The following is a 27,944-nucleotide window of genomic DNA, read 5'->3' as shown; positions in this document are numbered from 1 at the left end:
CTTACTGCAAATACAATCCTGAGAAATGGCCTGGGTAACAGGAGTTAGGGCCTTGCACTCAGCATGCCCAGCAAAAAATGTGCTGGATGGATGCTCAGAGCCCATGGCACATTACCTCTCCCAACCTTTGGATGAGATAAAACATGACCTCTCCCAACCTTTGGATGAGATAAAATATGACCTCTCCCAACCTTTGGATGAGATAAAATTTGATGTCTATTGTGCAATTTTGCTAAAATATTAAATAGAAAAGAATGGTAAAATTCAGTGACAATGCATCCAGAAAAGCAATTCACTTCCACTTCTGAAACATCTAGCTGGCTATGAAGGCCCTGACCAACATTTCCTAAAACTTACAAACATTTCCTAAGACTTGCATATATTTTATGCAATTGAAATTCTTATGATGTGACTTAGGAGTTATGGGCGAGTCTTATAGTGCAGACATTTCCACTTAAATGTCAGGAATTTTATGTATCAGCAGCTCTAGTGTATGGCACACAGAATCACTCAAATGGTTGGTGAACATAGTCTAGTTTCCTGTCTTCCTGTGTCTCAGCAGGAGATTCAAAATATCAGGGAAGATGAATATTATCAAAAGTTGTGGCGACCTCTTAATAGCATGATCATCTGGAGAGACTGAAGGCATTACGCAGGGTCAAGACTGTAATGACCTGCAATCAAAAAACCTTACAGACTTGAAGCTGAGTCTGTCGTTAAGTAGACATATAGATCATATAGATACTTTTCTATCTTTAAATGTGGTGGGGATGAGATGGGGGTTGAAGTAAGCGAATTTAAATTCACTTTCTAGTGAGACTAGCATCTAATCCTGGTGGCAAAACTTGTTTGGACACACCACTACATTCTAATTCTAAAATCAACAGCTGTGAGGTAGAGATCTCAAACCAAGCATGAATGATCACCATTCTTTTTTGTTTTAAAGTGGTTTTAATTACTTAGGAAACTTGCCCATGATTAGTGTGATTGAAAATGCCACTTTAACTGCAGTTGTAAAGTGCCTATTGATTCCTTATTGGAGTAAGAGACAGAGTACTACTTTAAAAAACTTCACTATCCTCAGTACTTTCAAAAATGCCCAGAGAGTTTTATCCTCTCGTAGGAGGCACACTCAAGAGCTTTTGTATGAAGAAAACAAATGGAACCCAGAATGAATTAGCCCCTTAGTAAAAGTTCCTGTTAGTCCCTTGCACGATGAACAAGAGTTCACGTTAGTTTCTTGCACGATGCATTCTAGATAAGGGCAGACTTTGAAGCTATATGGCCAGCAAAATCAGCATGCCAGTGTTTCCACAGGATGATGGGAACGTCACTGTGATGAGCTTTTCATCCAAGGTCTGGGTGGAGGTGGCAGAAAAACTATTCTGATCTATGCTCCATCATTTCTAGATAATCTAAGGATAAAGCCTGGACTATCTCCTGTAACTTACTCTTTGAACCTTATTATCTTATCCTATTCACTTCACCCCAATGAATTGCTTTTACAAAATTTATCTTGGAGGAGGGGCATTTGTCATCAGCAGATTCAAAACCTACTTACCGCACCTTGCTGTTGCAATGTCTAGCAAACTCCAGTTGAGGATATTACCTTAGGCTTCTGTCTTGTGAAGGCATAAGGAGACCTAGTGACAGAAAGGGGTCTGCTTTTCATGAGTGACTTTGTCCTCTTGTGAACAATGAAAATCAGAATCATGGAATGTGTGATTATTTTCTTCTCCATGAATGACCTTGTATTGTTCTGAATTATTTTTCACCTTAAATCCACTAATTGAAAGTTATTACTTTATTTTAAAAATAGTGCTTGAAGAAAATATCCCTCTTGCGGTTTTAACAAGTACTCTAAAACTAGAACTCTTTTAAAAATGACACATTTTGTAAATGGAAAGAAACAGTAATATTAATTTTGAAAAGACTGTTGATGTCACTGTGGTTTATTAGGTAAATACAAAGTATAGGCTCTTGCATTTTTTAAAAAGCAAAACCAAAGAGATTAGAAACCAAGTACACATATCCTCTTTAGAAGAGAAACATAAATCAGTTTTAACAATTAGGCACTTAAAAATGTAAATGTAAGACAACATTATAGAAGTATAAACTATAGTTACACTCCTAAATTCCTCCTGAAATGTTTACAAACACAAAATCACAAGCATGGAAAACAAATTTCCTCTTTATCAAAAAAGGAACCTGAATTTGAATCCAATGTGATAAACCAATGATTAAGGTACTGGTGGGTAGGAAAAAAGAGCTTCTGAAATTTACATATTTGATTAAAATGTAAGCATTTCATAAAACTATCACAATAGCATACAGTAGATATCATAATGAAAAATATATGTCAGGAAAATAATGAATCTAGACTTAAAATTTTACTTTACAACAAGGCACTTAACACATTGAAACAGTACAGTAAATTTCCAAAAGAATGCAATTGGCTACCTCTGAAACCTTGTAATAATATTTCTTTTGTGAATATACGGTAACATAACCATACATTTTGCAGCATTAATCATTGCATAGGAGGTAAATTAAATAATGAATTCTAACTTGGCAATTAGATTAGTTTTTGTTCATCGTTTCCTCTTTTTCTTTTAAAGGACAGTTTTAAATAATTTCACAATAAAGCACTCTTCTCATTCATGATTTATTTAGAACACAGCATAATGAGTAAGAAAATAAATCAGAACTTATAAGGTGTGTATCTGTATAAAAACTTATCTTTGGGTAACATTGACATGATTTTCAGTGTTTGGGTGTTGAAGTCAAGAGCACTTCTTAATAGAAGAAATATTTTCAGCAACTGAGTCAAAGGAGTTAAATTATTGCAACACAAGGACACTAAAAACAAATACTAAAAATCTTTATATATATAAATAGAAAAGCCTTCAACACATGGCATATAACTTATAATATGCTTGATTTAAACGTGTAAACTCATTAAGAAACTCCTTCTCACACTTCCTTACACTACAGAGGCTAGTGCATTAAGATTGGCTTAAAGTTTTCATCAGTTTTACAGTGCAAAACAAAAACAAAAAAGAATTAAGAAAGAAATGTTCAAACTATTCAAGGGGCAAGATGTGAACTTTCAACTAAAAAAGAAACTGCATGAGTTCTGTCATGTAAAAAAAACCAAGACAACAAATTTGGTGTTTCAAAGTAAACAAAACATAGGTCGTTATAAAGGGAGACACTAATGATTGTGATCATGAGAGGTAAAAATGTTCTACAAATTTTCTTTGATCAAATGGATACAAGGTTAGAATTACAAGTGCCTATAATCTGAGCACATTTTACCTTTGGGAAAGGTTTAAAATGCTTTTAAAATAATTCCTTTCACATGATACTTTCAGATTATTGGCAAACAACAGAAAACAAATGCCTTTCAAAAACTTGAAAACAGGCTTTTAAAAGTGGTGTTTGCATTCCAAGTCATAAAGTATATTGCCACAAGGGGGCACTGGTAATACAGGAAATAACCCTAATGCAATGTCATCCACAAACCAGAGTAGACTCAACGCTCACTCTCAAAACAGCCTTCCTGCCACAGCAAAACTTGTTTCCCAAGATGCCAGTAAATTAAGTAACAAATTCACAATTAGTTCAAGTGGACTCAGGAAAGGATGCTTTATTTTCAGATCTAGTGGACAAGCTCAAAAACTAGAATCTGAGAGAATTTCATTTGAAATGAGTTAGAAAAAAAATGTGGCATACTCTATAGGAATTATATGTTATAGGTATTTCACAGACAACCTAAATTACAGGAAAAGCTTCAAACAGGAGCATAGACTTGAAAAAAACAAAGATAATAAGATATGTATCTTAACTGGCAAAGAACAGGTACCCCAAACATTTATGATTTCAAAGGCAAGATCATACTTGTTTTATATCTTCAGTTTATATATATATCATACTTGTTTTATATCAAAGTGGCACATTGGGTTGAAGCTCAACTTTTCTTTCCTACATGTAAATGGGTTTTACTATTTGTTTTATTTTTCCATCTTGAAATTTTGATTCCCCCACCCTTATTTGCAAACCATGGACTTCCTCAACTCGATGACAGAGCTATACGACACATGCGTGTAAAGACATGGCAGCGGCAATGTCCACATTGGCATCACAGGTGTTTTTAAAGTTCTTTAAAAGGTGATGGTTTTTTTTAAATTAAAAAAAAACTGGATTACTTGACTAAAATCCAAGGCTTACTGTTTCAAGGATCTGTAGTAATTGGTGCACAATTTTTTATTTTATTAAGTTTAAACACTTTTTCTTATTCAATAGATGAAAAGTGAGTTATCCAGACACAGATGAATAAGGCTGTAAGGTGTATCAGTTTGTTTTATTTGAATTAGAGGCTCAAGGAAAACACCAGTGTTAGGAGAGCAAAATCCAGGCTTCTGTGTCAGATGATTTTCTTTACAATCGGGCAACAGGAACTTAAAAATCAGTGTTTTCAAGCAGAATACCTTGTTCTTGCACAAGTGTTGCTAGTTAATAAATGAATATAAGCGAACATTATATAGAATTATGTCTAAACTCATCAGGTAAACTAAGTATATGTTTATTATTGGTGTATTTAATAAGAAATACTAGAAAATTCTGTGTGCTTCAAAGCCTGCCAAGGATGTTTGGGGTTTTAATTCTTGTTTAAAATAACTGAATTAAAGAGTCTTGCTTCATGACTTTAAATTCAACTACCTTTCCTTTAGTGATTATTCTATAACATACAGAAAAAGCCATTCTGAAAACATACACAAGATTTTAGCACCAAAGGATGTTGACCCTTCTGAACGATTTGCATTGTGTTTTTCTCAAGCAACTTAAAGGTCAATTTTGTGTAGTCAAGGCTGACTAGTTTATAATGATACATTTGGGGATGTTTTCCATTCTAAATGAAAGAAAAATTTCACCTTCAATATAAACATAACTGCCTCCTTCTACCCGCATTGGCCTCTCCACCCTCTGCCCCAGTGTTGATAACTTTGCAACCTTAAAACTTTTCTAAGGTTTTAAAAGTCTTGCAAATTAACCTTCAAGTAGCTAAGAAATTAAGCCAAGAATTATCCAAAAGATCCAATAGCATTAAATAATGCACTAAATCTGGTAACATTAAATCTGATCAGATTTTTTAATCCATTTTTTGGCATCACCTTAAAGAAATTTAGAAACAGTTATCCCCCTTCACTGTATAGCTGTAACTAACACACTGATTCCGAGAGTATATTATAGTGCAGCACCATGTTATTTTCATAGGGTAAAAGTAAAATTACTCAATTGCGGCATATGTCCTTAGGACTAGTTATAAGAAACTGAGTCTCTTGCTAAAAGCAAGGATACATTAACTTTCAGGTTCCATCTTGGTTTTTCCATAAAGTACAACAGAAAAAGGAAGAAATCACCTTCAATGAAATTTGACCAAATACATTTCTGTGCTCCAATTAGGAGCCCTAAAATTGATCTCACACCAGGGCCTGACCTGGAAAGAAAACAGGCTCATTCCCCAAGTGGTGTGAACCTCAGTTGACACACACGTGTTTTCAGCCTGTGCTAGAAGAGTTGACTGCCCTGGGGCACCAGATCCAAATTTACAGGGCAGACAGCATCTAAGTGTGTACTCAAGGGCCACTCATTAGCAGAAACCATCTCATGTTTCCTGTGTATCTGTCATAGAGATTTTAAAGTGAAACATTTACACACATGTAAAATCTGTGGGGTGTGTCAAATACTTTCGTGTTTACTTGGATCAGCTTTCCTTTTTAAGATAAAATGATCTTTTAAAAACAAAACAAAACAAAACAAAAAAAAGTGATATGTAGCGCATTGGGTGGCAGCAGCAGTGTGCACTCCTGGACTCAACCCGAACTTTCCCCGTGACAGGGTAGAAACAAAATTCACCCAAAGCTGACGCACAACCCACGGATCTCCCCCTTGCTAAACCTAATGCTAAAAACCACTCTCAACATTAGGCAGTTCTATTTACACAGTGGCTGTAGATGTCCAGATATTTTATTTAAAATATTAACACATTCTTCTGACCTTGGGCTGAAAAATATCCTGAAAAAATTCTGAAGTAGAGGGTTTTGGTGGAGAAAGAATAAAGAAAGGAGGAATATGTTCTTTGGCACCTCTTTAACAAGCTCATTAGTAAAGTCCCGGGGTGGGGGCTTGTCACCAATGAATGAAGAGCTGCAAGAGAATGTATCTTTCTCAGGATGAAGAAGAAAACCAGTCAAAGGGCAATACTTTGTTCATCTTTCTAATCGTTTACACAAAATTTGGTCCATTTCTTCATTTACCAGTCAGTTCTCCTAAAATAAAAAACAAAACTATACCTTTGGTTACAGCGTTAACTCTTTTGGTGTAAGAGCTGATGCCTTTGTTTTGCTCCTCAGGTCGATTTCTCATTGTCTTCACCAATCTTCTGAACCCGTGAATACTTTTTGCATGATGATTTGAAGCAGCCAGGAGGCCAAGACAGCGGCCAGGAGAAGCAGCAAGGAATTGAGCCTTGTACATTTTTCTCAAAAAAATAAAAGATGGGGAACCACCATGCTCGAGATAAGAAATTAGTCTGTGAAGAGACCTTCAAGTTCTGTAAATGGTAGAAAAAAATTTAAATGAGACATATCTTTCTCAATTTGCATCCCAATTATTTTCTTAAATTGTCATTCACTGTAACCTAGGGAAAACAGAATTCAGAATCACATGGCAGTAATGATTTTCATGTCCTTTCCCTAACTCTACCATGACTCCGCTCCCCTAACACACCTAGGTGTCTTTCTTTCCTTTGTGGCTCATGCAATTTCTTCTGCCTGCAATTCCAGTAAGAATGGAGACTCTGGGAATGGATTTCAGAATTATTCAGGAGGAATAATTTTCAGGATGTGTGAGTGATCAAATCTAGGGGCCAAGCAAGTCAAAGAGTGAAAGAAGAGCTCAGAAGTTGAACACATTTAAGAGGAAAGATGAAAATTTTGGTTCAGTGGTGTCAGTAGTCAACTAGATGGAAGTGTAAGAAGGAAGATGGAAATGGGAGACTACAAAATAGGAAACAGAGCTACAAAGAGAAATAAAGTAATCCAAAGAAAGAGCATTTATTAGTGGACACCAAGAGTTGGACGTAGATCCTTTGGAAATGTAATATTTCAATTGCTCACAAATTCTCCAAATTGACAATATGGCAAGTCTATTCAAAGATAAGTAAGTCATGGTACACAGACCAACTCTATTACACCAAGGACACATACCAAGACTAGGAGAAAAGAGAGACTGGGAGGAATAATTCTGCCTTCGGACCAGAGGAAGAGAGCAAGAGTTAGAGACAGCTTCCTGGAAGAGGTGGCATTTGAGCTAGCTCTTTAAGTTTCAATGGGAGAAGAAAGAAAAGGCATCTGGAAACAAGGAAGCAGCAGTAGCAAATGAGGAAGAATCAGAAGGGAAGCCAGAGAGCACCATTATCACCAGAGGATATACCAAATCCAGTCATTCATAAGCTATTTATTTTGTGTGATTTTAAACAATAGCTGCTATCGGCTGGGCACGGTGGTTCACGCCTATAATCCTGGCACTTTGGGAGGCCGAGGTGGGAGGATCACCTGAGGTCAGGAGTTCAAGGCCAGCCTGGCCAACATGGTGAAACCCTGTCTCTACTAAAAATACAAAATAAAAATTAGCCAGGCGTGGTGTCGTGCACCTGTAATCCCAGCTATTTGGGAGGCTGAGGCACAAGAATCGCTTGAACTTGGAAGGTGGAGGTTGCAGTAAGCCAAGATTGCACCACTGTACTCCAGCTTGGGCAATAGAACAAGACTCTGTCTCAAAAAAAAAAAAAATTAAAAAAAATAGCTGTTACCTTCTCCTTAAAATTAATTTAAGTTGAAGGCAGGATTATGTCTTACCCAGCTGCACTACAATGCTTTTACAGAGAAGGTTCCTAAATTTTAATTTAGTACATATATTTTTTCATTCTAGTTTAAGTTACCTGAATTAGCAATGCACTGTGCTCCATAACTTTATGGCATTTTTATCCATAAATGGCATTTATATTTGTGAAGTTCTTTGCTTTATTTTAAAAAGCAGTAATGGATATATGTTTAAGTGAATGTGGCAACATCGGTTATCCCCATTAGGCTATCTAAAACCCCACGACATGAAAAGGGTCCACTGCATTCAAAGAAAAGAAATTATCCAAGCATCTTCACTGCTCTCACCTTTTCATTGGCCATTGAATGGTACCACCAAAACAGTCGTGTTGTGATATAATAAGCAATGATCACATCGATAGTGTAGTGTTCGTGTGCTACAAGAATGCAGATGATCCCGGCAGCACTCAGCAGCCAGCAGATTAAATGATACCACCAGAAGTGACGAGGCGAATCTGGACAGTAGAAAAATTACAGAGTTAATAAGATTCCCAGAGATGAATGTAATGATTACAGTCTGTCCTAACGACCTTAAGTAGAATAACCCAGGATCAGGAAGTCACCAGAAGGATAAAACTGATAACCTAAACTGAGTCACTATGAACTGCCCAGGATCTGCTCAGGTAGGAGGGAGGCAGAGGGGCTCCCTGGCAGCGGGCGTAATAGTCATTCACTGGGGAAGCTGGTAACACTAGACATTCTAGGCCTTACCCACGTGAATAAGCTGTTTAGTAAGAAAGAACAGAATTGTTTCTTATTAGGTTTGCTGGAATTGCTGCATACTGGCTCACATAAAGGAGCCACTTTCCCACTGGAAAGAAAGATAGTAGGGATCAAAAGAAAAGGTGGTGGTCTATGAAAATAAGGGGGGAAATGGGAAAGCAGGAGTAATTTCAGGTTTTAAATTTATATTATTTCTCCAGGGGTATGTGTAGGGTAAGGGGGTCAGAAGGAATGGCATTGTGGCTAGCAATATTTTGATTCTCAGCAATTTTACACTGTTATTGCCAATAGAAACTATAAAACATTCCCTCTGTAAAGGTTAGGGTTCCTAACCATTCACTTATGGACTCAGCCTTCCTGGTAAAGCCACTTAAAAGTTCATTCTACTTACTAGCTGTAAGAGACAACTGTGGCACTCACTGGTTTAAACATGATGGTCCTCCCCTTCTCACACAAGTGTTAATGACAAATATAACTGAAACCAGAGTTCATCTCTAGCAGCTTGGTGATCTGTTTTATTTTAAAGCTGTATTAGCTCACAATAAAAGTTAATCCAATAAACTGAAATTGATTTCATATTTAACTATGTTTACATTTATAGTGATATTTACATTCACATGTAGAAAGATGATTGAATAGCAAAAGGATCCATTTCCAGAACTTTATATTTATTTATTTATTTTTTGAGAGGGAGTTTCGCTCTTGTCGCCCATGCTGGAGTTCAATGGCACGATCTTGGCTCACTGCAACCTCTGTCCCCTGGGTTCAAGCGATTCTCCTCCTTTAGCCTCCCGAGTAGCTGGGATTACAGGGGTGCGCCATTATGCCTGGCTAATTTTGTATTATTAGTAGAGATGGGGTTTCACCATGTTGGCCAGGCTGGTCTTGAACTCCTGACCTCAGGTGACCTGCCTGCCTCAGCCTCCCAAAGTGCTGGGATTATAGGCATGGGCCACTGCGCCCAGCCCATTTCCAGAACTTTAAATGAAATACCAAATCAGGTATCATTCAAATATAATCTCTTGGTAAAACTAGCCGTTGCTCTGTTGGTCCCAAATGGCACACAGTAAGAAAATAAACCTGTATGGCATTTGAAAGTCTGATTTTCTAATTTTGGATATATTCCTTATTACTTGTCAGTTACTTCATTCTGCCACTAAGTTCTGGAAGAAAACTCATGGAATCTCAGAATTTTAATGGGAGAGGCCTTACTCTTGCAGTCTTAGGAGCCAGATCCAGTCCCCATAACTGTTGTGTTAGACTCAGGACATTAAAAATTGAATGAACATTGAGAAATCTGGAGGTCTCACTAAATATGCGTTTCCCAGCACCTCAGACCCTACCCGCCTCCCACCCCCAAGGTCTCTTAGCAACCCTGCTTCCCAACTTACAGGTCATCTGGGATTTACCTTAGAAGTTCAAAATGTTTAGGCAAACTAGAACTATTTTGCATTTGTTTATTCACAAGAAGCAAAGTTGAAGTAGGTCCAGAGGTGGCCTGAATCTTCTTTTTACTACTCACGGAATTGCAAGTGAGGTTTTAGGAACGGCTGGAAACCCCAGCAGTGCTTTCTCATAAAAATGTATTTCCTGTTATGCTACCACATTGGGCCCACCACTCATTAACTGAGAACACTGGCTGACCCAAAGAAAAGATTGAATAGAAGCTGTTTTGAAATAGAATGGCAAAATGGTAATCCTCTTCTCATTCATCCCATAGGGATAACAATGAGCTAGATGATGACACAAATAATAGCTAACATCACTGTCTGTGTGGAATTCTAGCCCTAGGGCTCATTAAATAATAGAGACTTGGTAGGGTGGCCAGGTGAAAAAACAAAAAACCAAAAAACTGTTCTCTACTAGCCAGATGATTGGCACTAACAGCTAGTCTGATTTCTCCAGGCTAATTTTATCATGAACCTACCCCCCAATTATAATATTTGCACGACTGTATGAAGCCCTCCCTTGCTAACCCCGAAATGGTCCTGGTGCCACATCTTCATGTGCTCTCACAACTAAATTTAAATCTACTCATGACAACAGAGCAAACAAGGAAAAGAGCCCAAACTGATCAAAAGGCGGGAAAGTAAAAAAATATATATATAAATGATACATCTAATTCTAGAAGCAGACTTTTCAAAGAAACCACTGGAACCACTGCTTACTCAGAACAAGAACATATGGTATAATTTAGAAGATAAATGTTTTTCCTAATTGCATAGAAAAAAACAGACACAAACATGGAATGCTCTGCTTACATACAGAACTGACTATAAACTGAGTTTGTGTTAAGTATTACAGATTTGTCCCTCTATTTCTAATCAAATATTGGAGAAAGCAGAATGGTATTCCTTGCACACTATATATAAATGTACACAATTTTAGAAACCTCTAGTCAAAATCATGTCTTGGGAAAAAATGTCTCTACATACTGAGAGGCCTTCATTAAAGTATAAAATCAATCACAAGTTGCCTTGCTGTTGCTCTGAGATGAAAGAATGTACAATAATGAGCAATGTCCCTGCTTATAGATAAGTAGACTATTCCTTGGCAATACGATAGAGTTAGCCAGCTTGAATTTCCAAAGTTCTAAACAGAGCCAAGAAATTAAAAGCAAAACCCCTGGATTCAGCCTCCTTCAACATGAATACCTGCTTCTCAAAATGATGGCTCTGCACTGTGGCCAAGTCACTTTCTCTAAGCTTAAGTTTACTCATCTGAAAAATGGGAAAAAATACTGCATTCCTCAGAGGGTGGTTGTAAGGATCAAATGAGTTAATTTACATCAAGGCCCTAGAATAGTGCCTGGGACAGAGTATTATGTCTATTTGCTATTATTGTTTATGAGGTTTGGCAGTGTCCCCACCCAAATCTCATCTTGAATTGTAGCTCCCATAATTCTCATGTGCTGTGGGAGGGACCTGGTGGGAAATAACTGAATCATGGGGGTGGTTTCCCCCATACTGTTCTTGTGGTAGTGAAATAAGTCTCACAAGAGCTGATGGTTTTATAAGGGGAAACCCCTTTTGCTTCGTTCTCATTTTCTCGTCTGCTGCCATGTAAAACATGCCTTTTGCCTTCCACCATGATTGTGAGGCCTCCTCAGCCACGTGGAACTGTGAGTCCACTAAACCACTTTTTCTTTATAAATTACCCAGTCTTGGTTATGTCTTTATCAACAGTGTGAAAACAGACTAATACAGTTAATATCAGTTGGTTTTCAGTTATTTTAGAAAACTGAATCTAAGTTTCCTGGGGGTGTTTTTATTACTTTAAACCTACAGTGCCTTCACTCTGAAATGCACCTCTTCCCCCACCTCCACCCTCATCCCCATCTTCTTCTGTAATTTTTTTATGATCCTCAGATTATAGAGAAGATCCTAAACTCAAATGTACATCTACACTAGAAAATGACTGATCTTACATAGCATACTCATGGAACTTTCCTTGGGAAAATTAGAGTTAGAACCAAAGCAACATATATCCTTCCATCCAACCCCCCAGAACCAATAACTCAATATTAGAAATGGAGTGACTAAATTTAAGGAAGAGACCATCCTCTGATGATGGTGCAGAGACAGATCCAGGACCCACTCCACCACCACAAGAGTGTGAGAACAGAAATAAGGAAAAAGCTTTTAAGTCAAGTATGAAGACCCCACATGTATCCCACTATTCTCCCTACTGCAGGTCTGTATGTAGAATTTACAAAGGAAGCAACAAAAAGACGCTACAATTCTCACAAAAAAGACTTGACTTCATCTACTACAGAGAACCTCAACTCTTGTCATCTTACCCTCAAAGCAGAACTTAAATACCCCAGGTAATCAAAGGGGCAATAATTCACTTCTGCACCACTGAAGATAACCCTTGACTTCCACACCACCAATTAGGATAAATCTATTTGGATGAACAAAGGGCCAAGAGAGGAGGGAAGAACAAGGAGGACAGGGGAGGGGAAGCTGCCTTCTGCTGCTCTCTGCTGAAAGACCCCCTTTTAAATATGCCCAGTGAAAAGGATTAAGATAAACCTCCAAAAAATACTGCCATGAGGTAACTTGGAACTAAATATGAAGGGTAATACTGACCAGCTTTGCAAACATGAAGGAAGAAGCATTATTACTTCAAAAAGATTTTGAGGTAATAGGCCTAAATATACAAATCCTCCGAAATATATAAAAATGAGACCTACTGGGCAGCTAAAACAGTACAACCCTACAAAGAACAAGACATGATTTTGGCCATAAAACCTACTAGAAAACCCAAGGATTTTGTATAATGTGAACTAAGCATACAAATATAGAAAGAGATTTTTATTTCTTGCCACCACATTTCTTATTGAGAAGAAAATAATCGGTATTGGCAAAATGGTCCATGAAGACTCCTATGAAAGCACAGAAAGTGCTAGATGATGATGAAATTAGAATAAAGTGGGACTTGGAAATGTTTTAAAAAGGGGAACACATTAACCGAATTATTTGGAATGCTAGAATGGAAGTGTCCTACAAATAATTCAAAGGTCATTACATCTGTCTTTAGAATGTACCAATCCTTTTTGCAATAAAATTAACAATTAATTCCAATATTAAGATAGCTTTTCATACCTTAAGAAGTACTAACCAAGAAGGGAGATGTTTTAGAGGCATGTTAAATGCTAGAGAGAAGCCAGGGCCAGGTTTTAAGCCTTCAGGGTTCAAATCACATATGACTAGTTGAAATTTTATATTTTATATATATACAGACACACACGCACACACACACATTCACATTCACATACATATATACACACACATCCGTCTCTTTCACAGCTTATCAATCCCAAGAGAATAAGGGCTCCTATCAATTTCAGGGCCCAGGGATCCCTCCCACTACAGCTATCAGTTCAGTGGGAATGGGCTATTACTTACATTCTTTGATGAACAAATAAGTCAGTGTCAGCGTAACCGTGTGACCGCTGAAGAGGAAGTCTCCACATAAGATATGTGATCCAGTTATGGACAATCCACCACCAGAAATCAATCGTAGAATCCGTTGAACTTTTGCCTGAGAGTCTCCATTGAGCTGAATGACACAAGAAGATTAAGAAGGGAATTTACAAGTGGCTAAAATCATGTTTCAGTCTAATTGTGTGACTCTTAGAAAGGACACCAGGTTGTGATTTTTTTTTTCTTTTTAACCTAGAAAGTCAAAAAGAATCCAAGGAGAAGCTCCTCAAACTGGGTTTTATTCATTTATTGGCAAGCTTTATTGACGTTTTAAATTATTCAATATGTTACTAATAATATGTCTTGGTGGTGGTGTGTCCTTGGGCAAAGCTTTTAAAAATATTAATAACCAATGACTTCACCACAGCTACGTGCTAAAAAGCAGATCAAAGCTACTTTCTTTTTGCAGGGGGAAGTGAGGGTTTTGAATGGTTAATATTTGATTCAGCTGCATACCACATTACCAATATTCTCTGCAGTGTATTGGTATCTTGTATTAGGTGGGCAGCCTAAAGTGGACAGATATATAGCTGCATTAATGTCTGATCAAAACATTTACAATTAAGAAGAGGAGTTGCAACTCATTAAATAATTTAAATAGGTTTGAAAATGATGGATTAGGGATGTACTGGCAGCTTTAAAAATGAGTAGCTTTGATTAGGAAAAACATCCCCTAAAGAAATAGCCTGTGTGCTACGGCAGGAGGCTGGGAGAGCTCCTCTGGACAAGGTGCAGCAGCCCTGCAAAGCCACTGTGATGACAGTGAGAAACAACGCTGGGCTAGGCCAGGGGCCAGAGAGGTTTGTACCCCATTACAATTTAATCATACTGGAAGGAGTTGGTCCAAACTGTAGGCATAGAAAATTGGAATACTGAATTATTGAGGGGCTAGATAGGGTGGGGGATTCAGATCAGATAAGTATAAAGCAAATTGAGAAAATCAAAGAACAATGCTCAGAAAAAAAAATCATGTAATAGAATACATGGAAGAGAAATACAGAAAGACCTTTTTTTTTTTTGAGACAGGGTCTTGCTCTTTCACCCAGACTGGAGTGCAATGGGTGGCACATTAGGTACAGGAGAGACCAACTTGGCTGCTGCCAAAAAGGAAAGCTTATCATCTACACTGTTTCTTCCATTAAGAAGGTAAGTATCTGAGGTCAGGAGTTCAAGATCAATCTGACCAATATGGAGAAACCCTGTCTCTACTAAAAAAAAAAAAGGAAAAAACAAAATTAGCCAGGTATGGTGGCACATGCCTGTAATCCCAGCTACTTGGGAGGCTGAGGCAGGAGAATCACTTGAACCTGGGAGGTGGAGGTTGCGGTGAGCCAAGATTGCGCCATTGCACTCTAGCCTGGGCAATAAGAGCAAAACTCATCTCAGAAAAAAAAAAAAAAGAAGAAGAAGGAGGTAAGTGTTTGGCCACCTATGGCCAAGATGAGGGATAGCTCGCCCTAGAAAGCTTTCTCAGGGAAGGGAATGTTGCTCTCCCAGCCAAACATTCTTGTATGTGGAAAAATAGGTTTGCAAAGCTAAATCATTTCACATAATCCTTTTATAATAATGGGGCCAACACTTATGTAAACACACTTTGAAGAACACAGATTGTCTGACTGTAAATCAAAACTTGGGTTGGAGGTTGAAGCAAATTATAAGCAAAAAATTAAAAGTGAACCATAGGATACATAAGGGAGCAGGCAACTGGAAAACTAGGAAAGCAAAGCTTTCACTGTGTTGGCTCTTGTAAGCATGTCTGGTGAGTTACAAGTTGTACAGGCATCAATTACTATAACAGATATGACACTTTTCCATAGTGAGTGGCTTCCACATACAAAGTTCTGCCATGCTTATACTCATGAAGGACATTCCTATAGAGTCAGCAACACAGGAGACAAGATTTTGTAATAGCTTTGTAACCATAAAAATCTAAGCAGCACCCAAAGCCAGCAGATGAACCAAATTTAGAACACAACTCTGATGCCTGTTCTGTAAAAGCACCTCACCTCTAGTCAAACTAAGTGATTTGTGTTTGTTTTACTGAACCATGATTCAGGCATATATGGCTTGCTTATGCTTCAGGAAGGGGTCCCGACAAGTGAACCTGGGAGATGATTAGTAAGGATGTTACTAGAGGTTCCACTATGACTATTTGTAGCTTGGCTATCCAACGGCACTGATGTGGCTTCCAAAGATTGCAACTCTTCCACAGAGGACAATCTTTAATTTACTTTCTTTCTGTAATCATAGCAATTCATCCTGCAAACCTCATCCGTTACTAAGATGGGTTTGCCTTCTTTTCTGTGGCCATTTCTCCATTTAACACATTGCAATAGCCCCTTAGAAGTGTTTATTACACTTCTGAACTTCTCCCACGCCTTAAATTAGCTTCACTAAAATCGGCCAGTGTTTAAATTCAATATGCACAGTTTTAATTACAGATATTTTCTGCTTTGATGGCTTTGGAAAAGTATAGCTTCTCCAAACCACACCTATATTTGGTGAGGGAGACTGTGGACGTCTTCAGAGAAGCTTGATTTTTCTTTCACCTCAGACATCTGCTTAGTGTTCAGTAAAATATGATGTTAGACTTCATTCCTTTGTCCAGAAAGCACATGATTTGTAATTTTCCATTTTGTAAACCAGGGTGCACTGAAGTCCGAGATGATTAACAGCTCTCTCAAGAACTCGCTCTTCCTGGATAAACTGTAATTCCTTCTTAGGATGGTTTCAGAAGACATCCTCACACACTATCTCAGTCAAAGGCCACTCTCTCTTTCCAGCTGCTAAAGAACCTTGGGGTCATCCTTGACTTCTTTCTGTCAAACCCATATCCAACTTATTAGCATATCCTATATCCCGAACTGAACAACTTCTCATTATTTCCACTGCTACCACTAAGGCTAAAGTTCCTATACTAGGCTGCAAGACCCTATGTGATCTGTGGTCTGCACACCCCAACCCTTCACAACTCCACTCTGAGACACCGGCCTCCCTACTCTTCCTTTAACCCACTGTGAATAAGCAATGTTTTAGCCTGCAGCTCTCATGCCGTCCACATGGCTCACTTCCTTGTCTTGGTTCCTGCCCAAATGCCTCGTTATTAAAGAAGGCTTTCCTGACCTCTATATCAAATAGAACCCTCAAGCACCCTTTCACCTTACTCAGCTTTGCTGTTCTGCTTGTGACAATCACCTGACAATCACCTGACTTATCAGCATGTGACAAATTATGAATTTGTTTATAATTTGTCATCCCTCAATAGAATATAAGCTCCAGAAGAGGGACATTGTTTGGGTTACTACAATCCCTGGTACATAAGCTTAATGCCTGTAGAATGAAAGCATTAATGAATAAGTAAATGAGAAGGTAAAAAAGCAGAGTCAAACCCCCAATGGTAATTTTCAGTTAACAGAAAATACATTTTTTTAGCACAAAAGGTATATATTTTATAAATACATTTTAATTTCTTCCCCTCAAATCTAAATAGAAAATAGAAAAGATGCTAGATTTCAGCTAACACATAGGGAAGTGTCTAGAAGAATGTATAATACAGGGTAAGTGATCAATAACTGTTTGCCTGATTTCTTCTAAGTGGCAGTTTGGAGGTACTGACCTTTGGAGCACACTGGAAATGCATTCCAGGCACAGGTAGAGTAGTAACATACATTGTAATGCAGCGATACAGGTATAAAGTTCCAATAATAAAACAGAATCTGCGTCCCACTATTGACCTAAAAGAAAAAATAGGGATGGGGAAAAACAAGTTTACTGGTTGGTTTTACTCCTAATGAAAAATAAAACAATGTTTAACAGGATAAAGAATAATCAGTACAGAATGGCATTAACAAACAAACCACAGTTTCACAGAGTTTAAAGGCTTACTTTTGAGTTGCCCATCCCTACAGTTTCATGGAGAGATTTGCACCACAGTTTTCAGAAATGAAGATTCACATACTGCAATAAATCTAGGTGGTTTGGCTTCCAAAGGATGTGTGTGTGTGGGGTGGGGGAACTAAAGTAGACGAAGAGTCTACATAGTCACCTCTCCTCAAAAGCACTCTTTGCCAGAGAATGAACCTGTCTGTATTTTCAGTCAACTCACTGCATTAAAACCCTTTCTTGAGAACATATGAAAGGAATAAGCAAGCCACAGTAACAGAGGAATTAACTAATGAGCCAAGGTGACATTACATAATTAGACACATAGGGAAATGTGACAACACATTTAGCCCACGGTATATAAGCAGGGTTTATTTGAGGACCATCTGAAGGTATTTTGACAATACGGGCATGAACTATTTTCTCTATGACTAGATTTTCAAAAAACTCTATCTTGAAAATGTCCAAAGTGTTCTCATACAGTTAATTACATTTAATAGTGAATGTGTAAGCTGATTATTTCATTCAATCTTGATCAAAAAAAGGATAAAAAAATCCCACAAGTCATTTTTCACTTTATATTTTTGTGAGAAGAACGTTGTCCTAACATCAGCCCCTGTGCTTCATGACCTGAGTCCTCAGCCTGAGGCAGGCTTCCCAGTGGATGACGGAGGATCCTGTCTTCAAAAGGGAAGGGCTCTGCCACTGTACCATTGCCTCATGGGTATCTGAATGGGCATCATGGGTCTGAATGTCTTTAGTCCAGCTGAACAGGACAGCTCCTTTTCTGTTGTATAGTTAGGTCTGTCAGCTCTGGGCTCTGGGGATTAAGAGATGAGTGGGACTCCACATAAAGCCCCTAGACTTGCTAGGTGTAACTTCATTACTGCATAAAACATATTACTCTAGGTCTCTCATTTTCAGAGGTCTCAAGCTTTCAAGACTGGTAGTGATCAAAGACTTCTGAAAAAACAGGCAGTTTCAGGTAATGTGACATATTTTAAGTTTTCCCTAAGATTGTGGTTCTGACATGAATCAAGGTCTAATTCAGATAACATTTGGAACTTCTAATTTCAAGAATTATGTATAAATATATATTTCAGCTGTCTGTTTCCAACAGCTATTTTAAGAATATTCCAAGGTTTCTGGGGTCAAAAAAAAAATAGAAGGGAACACCACCTAGACTAGTAGATGAGAGTATTTATTTATCCCCAAGGAATTTCTTTAAAGGCTTGCTATTCTAGTTCTGCCTTTCCTGGTACTAAAAAGGAGCAGGTAATAAACAGTGCTGAGTTTCTTCCCTTGGTTAAGGGAAAACCAATTTAGCCTTTGATCCAACCTCAGGTTCCAACAGAGTGCTGTTTTGAATTGTGCTCCATGCTGTTAGACAAGGGGAAGTAATAAGCAGAAATTATTATGAGTCAATTACATTCATTCCAGCATTCTGAGTTCAGCTGTACTCAGAACAGAAAACCAACTTAGAAGGTGAAAGATGTACTCTACAGCCTTATTTAGAAAAAGAACTAGTGCTAATGACTTTTTCCCATAGCTTTGAAAGGTGCTTTTAAAAGAGAGAGCAAGCAACATTCCTCATTCAGCTGGGATGTTCAAAACAGGTTATAAAAATTATTCTACTAGTTACTAAAATGTAAGATCCAATTCTACTTCAAATGTAAAAAGGCAAACTTGTGTGAATTGCGACTGAAACAGTGGATATCATTAAAATTTATGGTCTGGCTATGTGACCGTGTGTTTGGACATGTTGAAAATCTAAGGTGGTAGGTAGAGGCAGTTAATAATAACTATCTAATGAAAATTCAAAAAGGATCTAGATGAAAATACAGCTAAATTGAGGGAAAGACTGTACTTCAGGGTGGAGTCCACATACTTACCAGATTCTGGACAATTTCTCTTTTCACACATATATCAATAAAACCTTGCTCTAAATAAAGGAGAAAGCAAATTATCTGCCGCCTTAGCAGGCTCTTACATTGTGTTAATTTCCAGACACTAAAGAGAAAAACACTGAAGTTCATAAATACATTTTTTGCTTTTAGCATAAAGCATCCTTTAACAATTTCAGGAGCAGGTTACTTTTTTAAGTAAAAGACAACTCATAGCTAAGTCTATTACTTAAGCATATTAAGGAAACACATGAAGAGTTATATTAAGGAAAATGCTTAGGAATGACTGCAGTTTGTGGAATAAGGTTTTAAGACTGCAAAGTTGCATTTGGGGAACTCTTTAACAAAGATAGACTGAATTCCTCTAATCACAAAACAGTAACAGTGTTAGGGTCTGAGTGGATATACCACATTGAGAGTTCTATAATTGATCAAGTAATGAAAAGTGTTACCAACTAAAAAACAATACAGCCAAAATTCTCTAAGAATGATCTTGTGGCATTAATACTGAAATCCTATTTGACTTGGAATGTTCAGATTGTATCCAAGTTAGCATACATTACATTTTTAAACTCTGTATTATGGTCAGTGTTTTGATCAAAATCATATTTTAGTGATTTAATCACTACCATCCCAGTGGAAAACAAATGTCTAAATGATGAATGAGAGGAAAGGAGGAATTAAGGAGCCTTCGTTTTTATGGACTAGGAGTCAGAATTCACATAGAGAAGCAGAAATAACCACTTCAGGGCTATGTCCAATTCTTAAGTGTCTTCAAAGCAAAAGTACCTGACTTATTTCTTCTTGATTTCCTACTATTCCAAAAATGAGGAGGCTGAACCCAGTGAACCATGAGCTCCTTTGTGGTGTCCAAGGAAAATCAGAGGGCAAGTTTACTTTAGAAATCTAAAAATCAAAACCGCATGGATCTGGTTCTAAACTCAGTCTCTTAAACACTTGTAACTAGATAGCAAGCAAACAAAAAACCGAAACCACATCCACACACCCAGCCCCACAGAAATGTAAAATTTGAGAATTGAATCTAGGCAAACCTTAAAGCAGGCTATTGACTCTAGACCAATACAGACATCACATTATGAGTAATGGAGAAAAAAGTTTCTCAACCTATTCCTTTTCCCACTTGTCAAGAGCCTGAAATAACAAACATGATGGGAGTGAATGTTATTCCTTTCCAAGCCTCTTGATTTATCATACAAATACCATAGCACCAAGTTGCTGGAAGTCAGGAACTGCACCTTAAATTCATCAACTCTGAGTCATCCACCACAGTACTGCTGTACACTGCCACTTTCATACACAGTTGCTCATCAAACACTTACTGAATAGTGACTGAATTTATTCAATGTGGTAGAGCTTTCTACTGTTTTCTTTCATCAAATGTTTGGGTAAGACTGAATTTATTGGGGGAAAAAAAGGAAAAATAATCTCAATAACCCATCTATTCACTCAAAAACAAACCCATGACAAATCCTCAAAACATTAGATTTACTTACTTGTATCTCAGAAACAGCCACTGGGTGATCCATAATCCAACTAATATAATCCCATTTATTTCTGATACAGAAAATGCCCATTTCACCCTATCAATGTAATCAAAAAACTTGTCTGGGAGTGGAGGGCTAAGCTCCTTGGGAGGGACCCTCTCATGTACAACTGTGATCATGACGGTTGTCAAGACGAGGTTGAAAACTGCATATATGAAGGCAATGCCCGTTTTCCACCACTCTAGTGGAAATTTGTTCCTTGATTCAGTGGGCATAGCAATTTGGATATAGTCCGGGTACTTTTTGGTGCCTTTTCGCAGCCCACTGGATAAGCTCTTGGGTTTACCATTGCCATTTTTGTTTTCTTCTTCAACAGGTTCAGCGGGTCTTGCATAAGTGTTCGTAGGATCACTGGGTTGATTTTCCAAATGTTCTTCAAGTTTTGCTGTCTCTATGATATCCATTGTCCCCTAGTCTTCAGATCAAAAAGGAGATGGTCAAGTTCTTGTTCTTTGTGGAAATTTAGCTTTTTTCAATCCTTCTATTTCCAAGATCAACATGGACTCTTACAATGGACTTTGTTTCCTAATACAAAATGTAGAAGGTAGCCATCCGATTACTGTTTCTTCCATGCAGCTATATGCTGTACCTTCACCACTTTCAAGAAAGGAAGCCAATTCTTCCCTCAAAAAGATGTTACTATCCCACCTAAAAGCAAAACAAAATTATGTTCAGAAACTATGCTTGTCCAACTGTCAACCATCCAAAACAGAAACATTCTTAAACTAAGGAAACAAATACCAAAGCCATTTGCTTTATAAATGTAACGTCAGAACCTAGTTAAAGCTGCTGAGATCAAGTTTATTTACAAAATACTGAACAGTTTTATCTTGGAATTCTTGTCTCTTTTTGAGCTAGTATTGGTAGAAATAGGAACATTTTAACAATCAGTTCCCTTTAAATTTCCTTAAAGAAAAATCAGGACCTAACATTGCAAACACTTCATCAGACACTATCACTTGTTGCTAACCATGAAGTCATAATAAGCTAGAAATTACCCAGAGATCACATCAATCCTTCCTAAGACTGTATTTTCTATGAGCCATAAAGAAAGAATAAAAAACTGGTAAGAGGCTTATATGCATTGAATAATTGTTACTCTTCATTTGTCAAAATAGTCAATTTTCTATTTTCTAATTAAAAAACAGAAGTCTTTTTAAGTGACCGCTTTTAAGAACAGATTCAAGAACAACACATTCAAGATTTTTAAAATGGCACAGCCTCAGTTTATCCTTTTATATTCAGAGACGCACACCATATACAAGAAAAGCTGGCAGCCTTCAAAATAACTCTGAAAAGATACACCAAGCCTTAGCTATGTCTCTCACGCAGGTAACAAGTAGAATTTATTTGAAGGATAAAAATACCTCACTACAATTGGCATGATAAATTAGTAACTAACAATATTTTGATTCAGCTACCACAATTTCTACCAAACAACAGAAACGGGCCTCCAGAGGACCAGCTCAGGGGACTCACCCACCACGACACTGATGAGGATAACTACCTTTGGCTTCAGCTCCACAGGCTCCAGAGAGCACACACTTCTTTCGGACACGGGGCACCACTGCCACCTCTTTTATACTTGCTAGCACACAGCCCCAGCTGTTCTCAATTTAGGAGAGCAGTCTTTTAGTCCTGCTACAGAAACCAGCCACCTGATGAGGTTTTCAAACCTCGTAATTAGTCCTCTCCCTGGATACACTGCTCAACTTAAGCACAATCCACTGCATTTTAAAGGACCTCCCCCCTCCCCTGCCTCCCCGTTTCAGGGTAACTTCAGGGAAAACTGAGGAGGACAAACTCAAAGTGATGACAGCTAAGCCTTTATTTAATGAAAGAAAAAAAACACAGCGAAAATGGCAGTCAATATGTACAGGCAATGTCTGTTTACAATTATGGGTGGCAAATAGATAAACCACAAGTGTTTACTGTGCACCTAAATGCCCCAGTGCTGAAGGCTATGTAGGGCAAATTAAAAGGAGTGAAAAACACCTGACCTGAACATTCAGCCAAAGAGCTTGCAGTCTAACCAAAGAGACAGGACTAAAATGATGAAAGACTACTGGAGAAGACTGAATGGCATATTGTGAAAGGAAGGAGAGGGATGAGCTGATCACTAGGTAAAGTGAGAGGTTTAGCTGTACTGTTTCCCTGCTCCAGGGACAAGATGTGTCCACACACAGGCTCTGTTTCTGAGAAAGCAAAAGCATGTGGAAAGCTGGCCTGGTAGAGAAATGGGGGATAAGGGAGCATGAGACTAGCTAAAAGGTACTACTGAGAATTATAAACATCTCACCTTTCCCTTGTCCTTCTGCAGAGCCCCCAGCTATCAATACATTACAGCAGGATGAGAAAGACCCAGGCCTTTGACATCCCAGGCTTTGACAGGCCCAGGCTTGACAGTGTCTTGGCACAATGTTGTGGGAAGAATAAGCACAATGAAGAGGTGCCTCAGGAAGGTATTTTCAACAACAAACCTTCAACACCATGAACTGCTACTTCTAACGGAGGTCCGAAGCACTAACACAGCCATTTCCTGTCTCTCTTTAGCAGCCTTGCCTAATCCACTTACAGCATCTTGCCAAATCATCATCCAAATTCCCTTCAACTTTACTCTTCCATATGTGCTCCTAGTCTTATGTTCATGTGGGAAAGAAGCTTGTGATTTTGAAACTCCATTTCACAGTGGATGTACAGATGGTCTTTATAAGGTAGCTACTCGGTTCTAGAACACAGAATGTGGAACAGAAGAAAATCCAATTAGTAACCTTTTTTCTTTTTTTTTTCCAAGAGGACACACTCAGCCACCCACCTCATGGGACTGCTATGAGAATGACTGAAATAATTAATTGTGAAGAGCTTTGTGCCCCTGGGAGTAAGAACACTATGTGAGTACAATGCCCATTTATCGTTATTAGTGTTAAAATTAATATTTTCCTTGGGATTTCATTAAGATTAAATATACATAGCACATTCATCATGTGTGAACAAATCTTGGGACGAAATGTTTGTCATCAAGATAATGATCACAACATATTCATTCCTATTTTGAAAGGAAAATATCTCGGGGTCCCAAAATCACTCAGCTAAAGGAAAAAGTCAAGCTGGGAACTGCTTAGGGCAAACCTGCCTCCCATTCTATTCAAAGTCACACATCTGCTCATGGAGATAAATGCATATCTGATTGCCTTCTTTGGAGAGGCTAATCAGAAACCCAAAAGAATGCAACCATTTATCTCTTATCTACCTATGACCTGGAAGGCCTCTCCCCACTTTGAGTTGTCCCACCTTTCCGGACCGAACCAATGTTCATCTTACATATGTTGATTGATGTCTCATATCCCCCTAAAATGTATGAAACCAAACTGTGCTCTGACCACCTTGGGCACATGTCTTCAAGACCTCCCGAGGCTGTGTCATGGGTGTGCAACCTCAACCTTGGCAAAATAAACTTTCTAAATTAACTGAGACCTGTCTCAGATTTTCAGGGTTCACATTTTGGTAACCACAGAGGGATTCTGAGTGGAGGTGCCCCTGACCTTTAACAAATCTCCTATCAGTGCTTGGTTCAACCTTGGGCTATCTTTATGGCTTAAACCAATAGGACAATTTGCTGAGGCCTGGAAGCACCCATTCCAGAGAATCCCTGATCTCCCCAATTCTGGTTGAGATCTAAAGTTTATTTTGCTGTACAACCTTTTTTTTTTTTTTTTTTTTTTTGGAGTTTTAGTTGCTTCCAACACAAGGCAGGCAAGTTTTTCCTGCTTCCATGATGATGGAAGGTAGGTAACTCCTTTACGGAGTTTCCCTTCCAACAGGGAAGATGAGGTTTTTTTTTTTTTTTCCTGCTCCTAGTGACACAGGAGATAGAAGTTATTTAGGCAGATAGTGAGGGTAAGAGTTCTTGGCAAGGCTTCCCTTCTAACAGAAAGCAGCCCGAGAAACTTCTTTTGTCTAATGAAGAGCAGCCTGAAAAATTGAGCTGCAGACATAGATAAGCAAGCTGGAAGCTTGCACAGGTTACTGCCAGCAGCTGTGCCAATACAAAATGGCTACCTGGGGGCCAGGTATGTTCAACGTGTAGGCTCCATCTTCCTTTTTGTCACCATGTGTAAAGAAACAGGCAACATGGTGTGGGCCAGGAAGATAATCCATTTGCATAATAAAACATTAGGGTGGGGGTGGCCAGCTTTTTGCACCCTTATGCAAATGGCACACCTGGTCCAACCAATCTTTCATGCCCTATGTAAATCAAACACCACCTCCTCAAGCTCATCTATAAAACCTGCATTTCACTGAGGAAGCAGAAACCCATTTGGGACCCCTCTCTCTGCAGGAGAAAGTTCTTCTTTTCCTTTTGCCTATTAATCCTCTGCTTTTAACCTCACTCCTTGTGTGTCCATGTCCTTGATTTCCTCTGCATGAGACAATGAACCTCAGGTATCACCCCAGACAACAAGGCTGCTTCACTAGGATAGAAAGCAGTCTTCAGCCTGAGACCCAACAACCCCTAGATAACTAAATTGGGGTTTGTCTTGGCTAAAGTTAAAATCAACAACCAGCTGGTCTTAATGTCTTTACCATTAGAGTGCTCAGTAATCATATAAGTTGTGCAATCATTTTTTTTTTGCTTAACTGTTTTTTTTTATTGTTTCTCTTTTTCTTGTTGTTTCAGTCTTTTTCCCATTGGGTTTGACCAACTTCTTCCGACTTGATCAAATCCGAAGGAAAGTTCCAAATTATGGGGAACAAGGCCACTGAAGTGGCTAAATTCTCATAGACACACACAAAAAAGGTAGTATGGTAAGGTGGTATAATGGGGGGGAGAAAAACAGCCAGAAAAAGGAAAAAAAAAGAAAAAAAAGGAAAGAATTTTAATTTTGACTACTTAAGGGGCTTTATTTACATAACAAAGCCACCTTTTTGCTAGCCAGGTCAAACTGAAAGCAAAGGCAGTCACCTCACACTGCATTTCAATAGCTAGGGTTCTGCCTTTTTTTTCCCACCATGACAGCCTGAGTTTTGTTTCCTAAATCAAGCCCTTTCTGGTTTGATACTTGGTACTTCTGAAATAGCGGCAATTTGTCCTAGTTCGTGAAATATGGAAATGAGATTTAAAGAGTTGTTTTTTTAAAGGAACTTAATGGTTAAAGTCAGCTTAATTGAAAACTACCATCCAAGATGTGTGTCTGTACGTTTACATGTGTTTGTATTTAAAAGGCCTTCATGTTTTTATTCCTTTTTTCTCCCCCAGGACCTTGTCTTTTTTTTTTTTTTTTTGAGGTGGAGTATTGCTCTGTTGTCCAGGCTGGAGTGCAGTCGTGTGATCTTGGCTCACTGCAACCTCCACCTCCTGGATTCAAGGGATTCTCCTGCCCCAGTCTCCCAAGTAGTTGGGATTACACGCACGTACCACCACACCCAGCTAATTTTTGTATGTTTAGTACAGATGACGTTTCACCATGTTGGCCAGGCTGGTCTTGAACTCCTGACCTCAGTTGATCCACCTGCCTTGGCCTCCCAAAGTGCTGGGATTATAGATGTGAACCACCATGCCTAGCGCCCGTTTTTTAAATTTTTTCTTCTCAGTTGACTGGATTCTGTTTTCTTCATTTACTTCTGCTGTCTCTCCTTTCTCTTTCACCCTCTGCTGCATGAGGGACCTAAACTAGTTTATAATAGCCTGGGGTTCCTTAAAGAAAATGGAGAAGACACCAGACTCCCTTTCGGGGAGAAACCTGTTTCTCCTTATGGAACTTGAAGAGTGTAAACAGACAAGTTCATCTCAGCTTTTAAACTGCTTGCTTTTATATTGTTACCTGATTTATTGACTAAAATAGTTACTGCAACAGAGGCTACTCTTGGGTTTTTAAAGAAAAGTGTAGTTTAGACACTTAAAAATGTCTTTGTTTTAAAAAAATTTTTTTTAAGTGAACCATAAAAACATCACATGGTCCAGCCTCATAAAAATTCTCCCTTTTTGGAAACCCAGGATTCAGTGTGGGCTCTGCCCAGGGCTCAGAGATCTGGTTAAAAGATAGGTAGTCTCTAAATAAAATTGGTCTCCTTATGCAATCCTATGATAGATTTTTATAATTTTATGTTCGATTTGGCATCCATCTTTAATCTCCCTCTAGACTTTTTCTCTCTGTATCTTATGATGCAAATTTTGCTATTTGATTTTCACCTGAGTTGTTTCCTTTAATATGCAAATTTAAGGCTATTTAGCTGACAACTACCTAAGGTTGTGAAACAGGTTATCAAAATCTTGAAAATCTAGGATAGGAAAAAAACGTTTTTTATGAATCTAAGATGTGTTTCTATTGGCATGCCTAACATGTCTATGCATTTATATGTTGTGTACACAATGTTTCACTACTGAAAATATATTAAAAAGCTCTAATTAATTGGCTTAAAGAAAAAAGCACTTGAATCAAATAGTTTATCAGGAAAAAATAAGAGACTAATCAAATGCTTTTTCAAGTTTACGGAACTTAAGTGAAATCTTTAATAAATAAGCTAGCTTTAAAATTATTGGTAAAGTAATATTAGAAATGTCTTAAGAATTGCCAGCATACATTCTTGTTTGCATTTATTAATCAAGCAATTTCATACTTATCCCTGCCAAATACTATAAGGTGTCAAAATTTGACATGGGGGTTATAAAACTATGAACCTAGCCCAAAGCTGAATGAACTTTCCTTGTGTAACCTTTAATAAACAAGACATTGATATTGGTTTAATAAAAAATAGCTACATCTTGAATTTAGTAAGATTACCATAACTTCTAATCTTGTGGCTTTGGGCAGTTTAGTCCACAGGGACTGAGGTTTGTTTTGAGAAAGGACTGTTACTGTCTTTGTTTCAAAGCTAAACTATAAGCTAAGGTCCCAAATAGTTTGGCCTACACCCAGGAATGAACAAGGACAGATT

General features: G+C 38.1%; 1 protein-coding gene and 2 long non-coding RNA genes across 20 annotated transcripts in view, besides 2 other annotated features; 2 read left to right on the top strand and 1 right to left on the bottom strand.

Annotated features, from left to right (window-relative positions):
• LOC107986298 (uncharacterized) overlaps positions 1-13,255 on the top strand; it is a 75,213-nt gene extending 61,958 nt beyond the window's left edge. The window contains exon 2 of the long non-coding RNA XR_001741784.2: positions 6,417-13,255. This is a non-coding gene — a long non-coding RNA (uncharacterized LOC107986298). The remainder of the gene's footprint in view (positions 1-6,416) is intronic.
• The window catches only part of CYP2U1-AS1 (CYP2U1 and SGMS2 antisense RNA 1), a 68,641-nt gene that overhangs the window by 15,154 nt on the left and 25,543 nt on the right, over positions 1-27,944 (top strand). The window contains exon 2 of the long non-coding RNA NR_125929.1: positions 23,329-23,899. This is a non-coding gene — a long non-coding RNA (CYP2U1 and SGMS2 antisense RNA 1). The remainder of the gene's footprint in view (positions 1-23,328; positions 23,900-27,944) is intronic.
• The window catches only part of SGMS2 (sphingomyelin synthase 2), a 90,485-nt gene continuing 64,459 nt past the window's right edge, over positions 1,919-27,944 (bottom strand). For 9 of the 18 annotated variants that reach the window (NM_001375906.1, XM_047449717.1, XM_011531701.3 and 6 more), the window contains 5 exons: positions 20,958-21,656; positions 17,274-17,391; positions 13,580-13,733; positions 8,235-8,401; positions 1,919-6,616 (listed from right to left, as the gene is read on the bottom strand). In NM_001375906.1, coding sequence (NP_001362835.1) covers positions 6,413-6,616; positions 8,235-8,401; positions 13,580-13,733; positions 17,274-17,391; positions 20,958-21,412 — 1,098 coding nt within the window. In that variant the 5' untranslated portion in view covers positions 21,413-21,656 and the 3' untranslated portion in view covers positions 1,919-6,412. Of the gene's footprint in view, positions 6,617-8,234; positions 8,402-13,579; positions 13,734-17,273; positions 17,392-20,957; positions 21,657-23,307; positions 23,737-27,944 lie in introns of those variants that run through there. The other 9 variants (XM_047449719.1, XM_047449718.1, NM_001375910.1 and 6 more) reach the window with 6 other exon arrangements.
• Positions 10,031-10,616: an enhancer, noted in NCBI's record as "OCT4-NANOG hESC enhancer chr4:108827506-108828091 (GRCh37/hg19 assembly coordinates)". NCBI's record gives its function as "activates a minimal SCP1, AML or CMV promoter by ChIP-STARR-seq in naive H9 embryonic stem cells {active_cell/tissue: H9 hESC(naive)}" and the evidence as "EXISTENCE:reporter gene assay evidence [ECO:0000049][PMID:30033119]".
• Positions 24,919-25,649: an enhancer, noted in NCBI's record as "OCT4-NANOG hESC enhancer chr4:108812473-108813203 (GRCh37/hg19 assembly coordinates)". NCBI's record gives its function as "activates a minimal SCP1, AML or CMV promoter by ChIP-STARR-seq in naive H9 embryonic stem cells {active_cell/tissue: H9 hESC(naive)}" and the evidence as "EXISTENCE:reporter gene assay evidence [ECO:0000049][PMID:30033119]".

Source organism: Homo sapiens, chromosome 4, assembly GCF_000001405.40.
Source record: "Homo sapiens chromosome 4, GRCh38.p14 Primary Assembly".
NCBI lineage: Eukaryota > Metazoa > Chordata > Mammalia > Primates > Hominidae > Homo > Homo sapiens.
The sequence above is the reverse complement of the archived record's forward strand: the minus strand, read 5'-3'. Positions and strand labels throughout refer to the sequence as shown.